The 12,844-nt window shown below is 42.5% G+C and overlaps 2 pseudogenes; both read left to right on the forward strand.

Annotated features, from left to right (window-relative positions):
- CLUHP11 (clustered mitochondria homolog pseudogene 11) lies at positions 6,564-7,483 on the forward strand (annotated as a pseudogene).
- On the forward strand, positions 9,063-9,286 carry NAMPTP3 (nicotinamide phosphoribosyltransferase pseudogene 3; annotated as a pseudogene).

Below are 12,844 nucleotides of genomic sequence, written 5' to 3' on the forward strand. Positions count from 1 at the left end.
GACCATCGAGCCTAGGAAGAAACTGCATCAACTAACGAGCAAAATAACCAGCTAACATGATAATGACAGAATCAAATTCACACATAACCATATTAACTTTAAATGTAAATGGACTAAATGCTCCAATTAAAAGACACAGACTGGCAACTTGGATAAAGAGTCAAGACCCATCAGTGTGCTTTATTGAGGAAACCCATCTCACGTGCAGAGACACATATAGGCTCAAAATAAAGGGATGGAGGAAGATCTCCCAAGCAAATGGAAAACAAAAGAAGACAGGGGTTGCAATCCTAGTCTCTGATAAAACAGACTTTAAACCAACAAAGATCAAAAGAGACAAAGAAGGCCATTACATAATGGTAAAGAGATCAATTCATCAAGAAGAACTAACTATCCTAAATATATATGCACCCAATACAGGAGCATCCAGATTCATAAAGCAAGTCCTGAGTGACCTACAAAGAGTCTTAGACTCCCACACATTAATAATGGGAGACTTTAACTCCCCACTGTCAACATTAAACAGATCCACGAGACAAGAAAGTCAACAAGGATACCCAGGAATTGAACTCAGCTCTGCACCAAGCAGACCTAATAGACATCTACATAACTCTCCACCCCAAATCAAAAGAATATACATTTTTTTCAGCACCACACCACACCTATTCAAAAATCCACCACATACGTGGAAGTAAAGCTCTCCTCAGTAAATGTAAAAGAACAGAAATTATAACAAACTATCTCTCAGACCACAGTGCAATCAAACTAGACTCAGGATTAAGAATCTCACTCAAAACCGCTCAACTACATGGAAACTGAACAACCTGCTCCTGAATGACTACTGGGTACATAACGAAATGAAGGCAGAAATAAAGATGCTCTTTGAAACCAATGAGAACAAAGACACAACATACCAGAATCTCTGGGACACATTCAAAGCAGTGTGTAGAGGGAAATTTATAGCACTAAATGCCCACAAGAGAAAGCAGGAAAGATTCAAAATTGACACCCTAACATCACAATTAAAAGGACTAGAAAAGCAACAGCAAACACATTCAAAAGCTAGCAGAAGGCAAGAAATAACTAAGCAGAAGTGAAGGAAATAGAGACACAAAAAATCCTTCAAAAAATTAATGAATCCAGGAGCTGGTTTTTTGAAAGCATCAACAAAATAGATAGACCACTAGCAAGACTAATAAAGAAAAAAAGAGAGAAGAATCAAATAGATGCAATAAAAAATGATAAAGGGGATATCACCACCAATCCCACAGAAATACAAACTACCATCAGAGAATACTACAAACACCTCTATGCAAATAAACTAGAAAATCTAGAAGAAATGGATAAATTCCTCAACACATACCCTCTCCCAAGACTAAACCAGGAAGAAATTGAATCGCTGAATAGACCAATAACAGGATCTGAAATTGTGGCAATAATCAATAGCTTACCAACCAAAAAGAGTCCAGGACCAGATGGATTCACAGCCGAATTCTACCAGATGTACAAGGAGGAACTGGTACCATTCCTTCTGAAACTATTCCAATCAATAGAAAAAGAAGGAATCCTCCCTAACTCATTTTATGAAGCCAGCATCATCCTGATACCAAAGCCCGGCAGAGACACAACCAAAAAAAGAATTTTAGACCAATATCCTTGATGAACATTGATGCAAAAATCCTCAATAAAATACTGGCAAACAGAATCCAGCAGCACATCAAAAAGCTTATCCACCATGATCAAGTGGGCTTCATCCCTGGGATGCAAGGCTGGTTCAATACACGCAAATCAATAAATGTAATCTAGCATATAAGCAAAACCAAAGACAAAAATCACGTGATTATGTCAATAGATGCAGAAAAGGCCTTTGACAAAATTCAACAACCTTCATGCTAAAAACTCTCAATAAATTAGGTATTGATGGGACGTATCTCAAAATAATAAGAGCTATCTATGACAAACCCACAGCCAATATCATACTGAATGGGCAAAAACTGGAAGCATTCCCCTTGAAAACTGGCACAAGACAGGGATGCCCTCTCTCACCACTCCTATTCAATATAGTGTTGGAAGTTCAGGCCAGGGCAATTAGGCAGGAAATGGAAATAAAGGGTATTCGATTAGGAAAAGAGGAAGTCAAATTGTCCCTCTTTGCAGATGACATGATTGTATATCTAGAAAACCCCATTGTCTCAGCCCAAAATCTCCTTAAGCTGATAAGCAACTTCAGCAAAGTCTCGGGATACAAAATCAATGTACAAAAATCACAAGCATTCTTATACACCAACAACAGACAAACAGCCAAAACATGATTGAATTCCCATTCACAATTGCTTCAAAGAGAATAAAATACCTAGGAATCTAACTTACAAGGGATGTGAAGGACCTCTTCAAGGAGAACTACAAACCACTGCTCAAGGAAATAAAAGAGGATACAAACAAATGGAAGAACATTCCATGCTCATGGGTAGGAAGAATCAATATCGTCAAAATGGCCATACTGCCCAAGGTAATTTACAGATTAAATGCCATCCCCATCAAGCTACCAATGCCTTTCTTCACAGAATAGGAAAAAACTACTTTAAAATTCATACGGAACCAAAAAAGAGCCCGCATCACCAAGTCAATCCTAAGCCAAAAGAACAACGCTGGAGGCATCACACTACCTGACTTCAAACTATACTACAAGGCTACAGTAACCAAAACAGCATGGTGCTGGTACCAAAACAGAGATATAGATCAATGGAACAGAGCCCTCAGAAATAACGCCACATATCTACAACTATCTGATCTTTGACAAACCTGAGAAAAACAAGCAATGGGGAAAGGATTCCCTATTTAATAAATGGTACTGGGAAAACTGGCTATCCATATGTAGAAGGCTGAAACTGGATCCCTTCCTTACACCTTATACAAAAATCAATTCAAGATGGATTAAAGACTTAAATGTTAGACCTAAAACCATAAAAACCCTAGAAGAAAACCTAGGCATTACCATTCAGGAGATAGGCATGGGCAAGGACTTCATGTTTAAAACACCAAAAGCAACGGCAAGAAAAGACAAAATTGACAAATGGGATCTAATTAAACTAAAGAGCTTCTGCACAGCAAAAGAAACTACCATCAGAGTGAACAGGCAACCTACAAAATGGCAGAAAATTTTCGCAACCTACTCATCTGACAAAGGGCTAATATCCAGAATCTACAATGAACTCAAACAAATTTACAAGAAAAAAAAAAACAACCCCATCAAAAAGTGGGCAAAGGACATGAACAGACACTTCTCAAAAGAAGACATTTATGCAGCCAAAAAACACATGAAAAAATGCTCACCATCACTGGCCATCAGAGAAATGCAAATCAAAACCACAATGAGATACCATCTCACACCATTTAGAATGGCAATCATTAAAAAGTCAGGAAACAACAGGTGCTGGAGAGGATGTGGAGAAATAGGAACACTTTTACACTGTTGGTGGGACTGTAAACTAGTTCAACCACTGTGGAAGTCAGTGTGGCGATTCCTCAGGGATCTAGAACTAGAAATACCATTTGACCCAGCCATCCCATTACTGGGTATATACCCAAAGGACTATAAATCATGCTGCTATAAAGACACATGCACACATATGTTTATTGTGGCATTATTCACAATAGCAAAGACTTGGAACCAACCCAAATGTCCAACAATGATAGACTGGATTAAGAAAATGTGGCACATATACACCATGGAATACTATGCAGCCATGAAAAATGATGAGTTCATGTCCTTTGTAGAGACATGGATGAAATTGGAAATCATCATTCTCAGTAAACTATCACAAGAACAAAAAACCAAACACCGCATATTCTCACTCATAGGTGGGAATTGAACAATGAGAACACTTGGACACAGGAAGGGGAACATCACACTCTGGGGACTGTTGTGGGTTGGGGGGATGGGGGAGGGATAGCATTGGGAGATATACCTAATGCTAGATGATGAGTTAGTGGGTGCAGCGCACCGGCATGGCACATGTATAAATATGTGACTAACCTGCACATTGTGCACATGTACCCTAAAACTTAAAGTATAATAATAATAAGTAAATAAATAAATATATTTTAAAAAAAAGAGTACTTGGGTGTCCTCCAGCTTAGTTCCAAGTTCTTCAACTGTCGCTCTGGTGACCCTTTGACCTGGGTTCGAGCTTCGATGTTGGGTGCTGCTTGCCGAGACCAGCTCGGTCATGGAGACCCTAACTCAGCAGCACTAGAGGAATTAAAGACACACACACAGAAATATAGAGTGTGGAGTGGGAAATCAGGGGTCCCACAGCCTTCAGAGCTGAAAGGCCTAAACAGAGATTTACCCAAATATTTATTGACAGCAAGCCAGTGATCAGCATTGATTCTATAGATTATAGATTAACTAAAAGTATTTCTTATGGGAAATAAAGGGATGGGCCCAAGTAAAGGGATGGGTTGGGCTAGTTAATCGCAGCAGGAGCATGTCCTTAAGGCACAGATAGCTCATGCTATTGTTTGTGGTTTGAGAATGCCTTTAAGGGGTTTTCCACCCTGGGTGGGCCAGGTTTTCCTTGCCCTCATTCTGGTAAACCCACAACCTTCAGCGTGGGTGTCATGGCCATCATGAGCATGTCACAGTTCTGCAGAGATTTTGCTTAGGGCCAGTTTTGGGGCCAGTTTATGGCCAGATTTGGGGGCCTGTTCCCAACACCCAGGGACATTCAGCTGGTGTGCTGGACGTGGGAATGGAGTCCAGACTCAGGTCACTGCCCCACTGCTAGAAGACAGCTACCAGCTGGACCTGCCAGGCCTGTTTGGGGAGAGGAGTGGGAGTGACTGGCTGGTGGGAGAGGGGTCCCAGGACTCCCAGCCTCTTGCTCTGTGCCCTGAGGCAAGTCACCTCTCTCTGGGCCATGACTTCACCATCTGCCAGAGGGGAGGTGGTGTTGGGTGATCTCCAAGGGCAGAGCCAGCCCAGAGGTGTTGCATGCTTTTAACTCAATGGGGAACCAGGCAAAGCCCTCTCATGTCCTCTGTGTCCCCAGGGTTGGGCCTTGGAGTGCCCCTAATGGAAGGTGAAAGCCATTTTTCCTGGGGCCATTAGTACCGGTTTAGGGAGGAGACAAGGCTGTTCTTTTCCCTCCCCTTGTTCTTCCATCTCCCCCTACTCTGCTCAGGTGTTACTCTTGGGCTCAGGAATAGCCAGCAGGGCCGGGCTCCATCCAGCACACACATATGAGTAGGTGGACTTGGTGTGTACAGCCAGAACCTGGAACGTAAGCCAAAAAGTGGGAAACTGAGCATGTTGGGTATTTATTCTTGGGACCTGGGTATTTTGGGCTGGGGACAAGGGAGCATGTCCTTTCTCCCTGCCATATGTCCTCTTCCCCAAGGTACTGGGGGCCTTATCACTGGCAGAAGTCTTACCCCAGGAGATCAAGCAGGAGATCCACCAGGTGCTCATGGACCATGGAGTCCCATGTCATTACACCTGCTTCTTGCTGCACCCAGAAGACAGCACACTGGAGCGCTTCTTAGTTCTGCACAGCATCCAGGGGCTGCAAGAGGACTCAGTGCTGTGCAAGGTGGAGGTTTGTCTGGAAGTTGGGTGGCCTGATCAGGGGAGGGCTCCTGGAGGTCCCTGCCCTTTTGGGGTCTCTGTGTCACAGATTAGCACATCAGGGCAGGATTGGAGCACAGCTCTGCCTCTCAGGCCATCACACCTGCACCCTCCAAATTCATGGCCCATGGGTTAAAAAACAGTCATGAGGCTAAAAATATCGGGGAGTACCAAGCCAGGCTGGAAATCAGCCCGATGGAATTCTGTAAGTATAAATGACATTCATTTAAGAAAACCAAAAAGCCTCACAGCTCCTGAGTGCAGAAGTCGGCCTGATCCAGCACAATAAGCAGGTGTGGTGAGACTGGCTTGGTTGTAAACTCTGCTCTCGTGGACTCAGAGCTTCTTTGGGAAGAAGCCGCTCAGGATCCCAGGGTCTCTCTGCTTGTTAAGAGCAATTGTGGAAAAGGTCTATAGTTCAACGGCACACAGAGTTGATCATAGAACCTCTCTCCTCCCCCTAAATAACTGCAATTCCAAATCCCAAGAAACACATGGAGGGGCAGTGTTCAAACTGGGGACCCTGGGAAGTCCCCAGGCCACCCCTGCATGGGGGCTGCCCCATGACAGCAGTGCGAGGTTGTGGAGACCCTGAAGCTCTGACGGCCCTGCCCACCTGAGACACAGGTCCACACAGAGGAGGTGGCCTTGTGGGCTCCCCAAGCCCTGGGTGTCCTCTAGAGGCATTTGGGAGAAAGTTCTTTGCCAACAAGGATCCCTGCTTGCCAGCAGGCAGATGGTGTGTGTGTGTGTGTGTGTGTGTGTGTGTGTGTAAACCAGAATTCCAGTGTTCATAGTGAAATTTGAAAATGAAAGCCTAAAGCTGAAAATTAAACCATGCATGATAACACACCCGCAAACTCTGCTGTGTGCTAGGCGGGCTGTTCCAGAGTGCAGGTGCCTGGGAACCCCCCCACCACGCCACTTCCTGACAGAGCCCTATACCATGTGTGAGGCCCACATCCAAGTGGACCAGGGTGGAAACCTATGCAAGAGCATGGACCCCGACCCATCTGATGCCTCCAACAGGGCTGAGGGTAGCTTTTTGTTCTTCCTGAGCATTTTCACTGGGGGTGACCTGGGAGTTGCACGAGGCACTGGGGTTGGGAATTGGGCAGAAGAGCAAGGAGCATGGGGGCCAGGGACTGACGAAGGGGCTGAGGACCAGGGCTTCCCACTGGAGTCGTCTGGGGAGGCACCAAGACCAGGACCACATTTAGGAAGACAGAAAGCTGGCCCTGGATGTCCTTACCTTGTGCTGACCAGTGACCATGGGGCCCTCAGAAGGGCTTGAAGATGGAGCCCCTCGGTGGCACACCACCTGAGTACATCCATCCAGGGAGCCAGGAGTAGCCATGGTGTCTTGTGCAGTCCCAGAACTGTGACTGGAATGGAAAATTTCCGGGGGTAGCAAGAAAGAGGCTCTTCACTGGGATGGAGGGCCACACTCCAGGAGGCCTGGTGCATTCACACTTGGCCATGCCTGCATCCTGCGCAGTGCCTGAAAGTGCTCACCAAAAGCAGCCTGAACCCACCTTCTGGGGACCTCATGTGCTTGTTGGTGATCATGGCTGAGGACCTACAAGGCTGCATGACCGCATACACATGAGGCTTTCACCTCAATCAGTGAGTCCCTGCCAGCCAGCCATAACCCCCTGACATGTCACTGGTTCTGGGTCTGTGGGTAGATACCCAGCCATCTGCTCAGTGACCACCCTCTCCTTGTAGATCCATGGCCTCTCACCACAACCCCAAACCTACCAGAGCCACTTCCGAAGCCCTTCCCTAGCAGAGCTGCTTAACCGTATCAGCGGGACCTGCAGAAACCACTTTGCAGGAATGCAGAAGTAAAGGTGGTGCCTGTGTCATTTCTGCCCTGCCTTGTCTCATGCACATGGAGGAATGGGATGAACCAGCCAGCCTGAACTCCAGGGCATCCACCCGAAGAAACAGTCCCCAGCCCCTGGTGACTGATTCCCCCTCTAGGAAGTCATCAGCCAGCATGGGAGAGGGCAGTCTTGGGAGAGGAGCTCATTTGCTTCTGTCTGACTTCAGGGCAGTGTCTCAGGGTGTGAAGAACCCACAGCAGGGAGGTCTCGGAGCAGAAGGGGTCCATGGCAGGGCACTGAGCTTTGTGGGCTGCCCCATCTCCCCATCCCCTACCTGCCACAGTGTCCAGAGGAATGGCCACCTTGTTCTAGATGTGCAGCTGGATGACCCCAAGGGAGAACACAACATGGACTGCGTGTGCACACAGGAAACCTCCACCTCGAGGCTGGGCTGCAAGGAGCACATTTCTGGACTGGGGCCTGGGGCCTCACCCTGTGCTCACCAAGCACCCCCCTCCCTCCTGGGTGCCAGACGGTTCTGTTCACTCTCCTGTAGTCTCCATGCTGGGCTGTTCATTAGGGCATCTGGGCCTGTCCATGGGGAGGTGGAAGAAAGGACATCGCAGAGGAGGTCTCAGCCATGGGTGAGCCCGCATCTCCCTCCCTGGCTCCCGTGCAGACCCGGGCCTGGAGTGAGAAGTTCCAGACGATGAGGAAGCTGCTCCCCAAGGATCTGCTTGAGCTGCTGTTTCAAAAAGGGCCATATTGAAGGTACCCACAGCGTCTGGTGAGTGCTTGGCAGCCTCAGACCCACCTGCCACCTGCGGCCAGGTTCTTCTGTGGAGAGGTGGAAAGTGAGGGAAGCTGGCACAGGCCCAGCCCTGTCAGGTGCCCTGAAGGCTAGTCAGGGTCCCCTGCAAGGCCTTCTAGCCTTCTGCTTCCTGGAGAGGCCTTTTTCTGGCCTCTCTGAGTCTCTGGGTGGAGAGGGCCCAATTTCTCTCTTGCCCTCCACTAACCACCATGGGGCCCACACCTGGGCCCATGCTGCCCAGCCATGGTCCTTTAAGGGCAGGATTTCATTTGCATAGGACGTTTGGCTTGCTGGTGTTTAAAAGTTACTAGTGCTGTTGCTAAGAGAAATGAGGAAAAATTGCTGCTCAGTAAAACTCTCATAATCTTACTTCCTAGAGATGATGATGGAAGAAGTAGGAGCTGCAATTTCTTGGGTTCTGACTTTACCAGGGATGGCGCAGCTTCTTTCTACACACAATATTCTATAATCTTTTGGACATCTTGTAAATGTCAATACTTTTATTGTTACTGTTTTTGTTGTTACTCAGGGATGAGGAAACTGAGTCTGAGAGGTTCCTGCCCAAGCCCACCTGGCACACAGCTGCTGGATGCCAAACCTGCTTCAGCTCTCACACTCCTCATTCATCACTAAGCGCTGCCGTCTCCTTGTGTTCAGTTTTTTCAAAAAACGGTTTTCTTGCCCTTTTCTAAATATGAAGAGACTGAGGCTAAGGTCCCTGGGCTCCCAAGGCAGGCCTAATTGCCTCCACCATCTAGGTGAGCTTGGCCAGGTAGATACAGCCTGAGGTTCCTGTGAGTGGGATCCCAACAAAAGTTCCAAAGGGCCAGTTATCTTTACATAGGACGCCAGCAGAGAATTTTGTTACACTGGAGGAAAGAAAAGGAGACCTTGAGGAATATGGTCATGATCTTCTCCATACTGTCTTCAAGAATGGCACGGTGACAAAAAGCTCTTCATTTGATGAAATAAGAAAAAAATGCACAGGTGAATATTGAACTGGAAGCAGCACCTCATTAGGCTTTGTTTTATGACTGGGTGTGTGTTGCGTGTATGTGTGTGTGTGTATGTGCATGCACACACACATACACCTGTGTGTGAGTATCTAATACATGTTTATTGTACAGATGTGTGGGGTTTCTTTGTGTCTTATGATACATTACAGCCAAATTATTTGTTGGTTTATGGACATACTGCCCTTTCATTTTTTTTCCAGTGTTTAGGTGATCTCAAATTAGGAAATGCCCTTAACCATGTAAAAGATTAGTGCTAAAGTAAGCTTTTTAGGGCCCTTTGTCAATAGATAGTCATTCAATCTGGTATTGATCTTTTCATAAATAACAGAATTGAGAAACTTTTATATATAACTGATGATCACATAAAACAGATTTGCATAACATTTTCATGATTGCTTTATGTTTATATTTAACTTGTATTTTTGTACAAACAAGATTGTGTAAGATATATTTAAAGTTTCAGTGATTTAACAGTCTTTCCAACTTTTCATGATTTTTATGAGCACAGACTTTCAAGGAAATACTTGAAAATAAATTACATTGCCTTGTGTCCATTAATCAGCAAATAAAACATGGCCTTAACAAAGTTGTTTATGTTATTGTACAATTTGAAAATTATGTCAGGACATACCCTATAGAATTACTAATCTCAGTGCCCCTTGTAGAATATATATTAATCATTCTACATTAAAGAAAATAATGGTTCTTACTGGAATGTCTAGGCACTTTACATATTATATTGTATGATATATATTGTATAATGTGTAGGCACTTTACTTATTACATATTATTATATATCTTGGTCGTTGTATTGTACCAGTGAAATGCCAAATTTGAAAGGCCTGTGCTGCAATTTTATATGTCAGAGATTGACTGTGGCTCTAATAGGCACCTCAAGATTTTAAGGAGATAATGTATTTGGAGAGAATTTCTGCTTCCACTGTAGAATAGATACATAAATGTAAAATACTGACAAAAGTGGAAGTAGTATATTTTAAAGTAATTACACTTCTGAATTGATTTTTCATATTCTATAGTTGGTATGACTTAAATGAATTACTGGAGTGGATAGAGAGTGTACTTACATGTTTTGATTCCATTATATTTTTTATTAAGTTTTTTAAAAATTAAATTGGATATTAAATTGTATGGACACCATTTATTAATTTTAAACTGAATCCCCTCAATAAATAATACTGAAGCACATTCTTAAATGAAGAGAAATTATCTCCAGTGAAAAGCATAACATGTGTTTCAATAGAAGAATCTTAACTAAAAGCAGAAAGTTGGCTAAATTCAAAGTGCTTGACTTCAAAATATTCTAGAGTGATTAGCTACTAGATTCTGAATCAGACATCACATCTGACTAGAGACCAGTTTCTTTCGAATGATTCTTTTACATATACAGATCTATTCTTCTGAGGCAGCGGTTGGCCAACTATGGCCCGAAGGCCAAATTTGGACTTGTTCTTATAAATGCAGATTGTCTATGGCTGCTTTCCCACTACACCAGCCAAAGGTAAACAGCTGCAATAGAAACCAAATGAGATTCACAAAGCCCAAAATGTTTATTATCTGGCCCTTTACACAAAATCACACAAAAAGTTTCCTGATCTCTGTTCTAAGAAAAGGAATGTGCCTTGCATTTAAAGGAAAATGTTGGTTTCTAGGGAAGGGAGGAGGCTAAATAATTGATAAGGAATTTTCCTCTTTTGTCCTTTTTTTTCTTTCTCATTGAAGAATCTGATACTGGAAGACTGATTTAGAAAAGTTTTAACATGACATTAAATGTGAAATTCTAAAAATTGAAAAGCCATAAATCATCTGTTTTAAATAGTTACATGAGAAAGTGTTTTATCACTAGAATAATATAATTAGAAGTGAGTTACCTTCATTAAATGTTTTTTGTAAGTAGTATTAGAAAGAATATATTTTTCAGATGATTCTCTAAACACTTAGAACAATAAGCATTATTCACTTTTAGTAAGAGTCTTCTGTAATCCATGGTAGAAAATAATTTTAAAATGATTTTTTACCGTATTTGAGTAAAGATGAGTAGTATTAAAAAGAACACTCATTTCTTCACAAAATGTGCTAAGGGGCATGTACGGAATCAAAAGAAACTATTACCAATAATAGTTTTGATAATCACCCATAATTTTGTATTTAAACCGTTTAAACATTGAAATTACACTATAGACAGTATTCTCTGTGTTCTGTGAATTTCAGCAGCTTCAGAATAGAGTTTAATTTTGAAACTTGCGGTGAAAAAAGCTATCCATTTGTTCACAACCATAAATCAGGAGATGGAGATTAATTCTATTGGCTCTTAGTCACTTGGAACAGATTAATTCTGACTTTCTGTCACTAAGTACTTGGTATTTGGCCATCTCCATTCTGAGCACCAAACAGTTAACATGAATGTCAAATAGGACTCTGCTGTGTGTCACCGTTAAATCAGCCTAACTCTTCCAGACAAAAGCAAATGGCATTTATGGATTTAAGTCATTAGATTTTCAACTGACATTAATTAATCCCCCTTGATTCATTATATCATCAAGAATTTATATTTTAAATAGGAGGTAGGATTTCTGTGTTAAGACTCTTATTTGTACCCTATAATTAAAGTAAAACAGTTTTTATGAGTATCCCTTACTTTCCCTTCTTAAATTGTTATCAAACAATTTTTATAATGAAATCTATCTTGGAAAATTAGAAAGAAAAATGACAAGGTATTTATTGTTCTGTTTGCCATAATTTAGAACTCACACTTAAGTATTTTGTAGTTTTACATTCCTTTTTAACCCATTCAGTGGAGAATGTCAGCTTTTCTCCCAAGTTGTATGTTAAGTCTATACTAATACATGCTCAACATCAAGTTATAAACATGTAATAAACATGTAAATAAAGTTTTAAAAAAAATCTTGGCTGGAATACCATATGCAGTGAGTTTTATCTCAACACCAGTAGAAAAGTAAGCAGATACAGCGTAGGCAGGAAAAAAGAGAGACAGAGAACCTAGAGGACTCCATGTGTTAACTCTATAGTTGTGAATTTTTAAAATAACGACCATTTGAGACCTATATTTTTTCTGATGTAATTTTGCCTATTAATTTTAAAATGTGCCAAAGAATGCAACATAATATGTAATCATCAGGAGTTCAGGAAAACCTAGCATGCCTTAATGATTGAGAATCACATTCTGTTTCTTATTAATAGCTAGAGAGCAAAGAAAATCCTATAAATCTTGTAAGAAAATGCCAGGAGTTTAGACTAGTGTTTTCGATAGTGGCAACTACTTTACTAGTGCCACTTTTTTGAAACAAGCAAGGGGAAAAAGTCAAACCAATTCAAAGGAAACCAGGATTAAAATGTTCACAAAAATATGTAAATCAAACAAAATATTAAACTAGGTGCGCAAACCAGAAAATAAATGCCTCACAGACAGAAGGTAAGTTCGGTACAAAACAAGAGTGCTCAATCCAGAAAGATATTTGTCTTGAGAGCGGAAAGGACTTACCAGAATAGACAAAAGGCCTTTTATTATGCTAGGAGGGAT

This window comes from Homo sapiens, chromosome 16 (assembly GCF_000001405.40).
Source record: "Homo sapiens chromosome 16, GRCh38.p14 Primary Assembly".
NCBI lineage: Eukaryota > Metazoa > Chordata > Mammalia > Primates > Hominidae > Homo > Homo sapiens.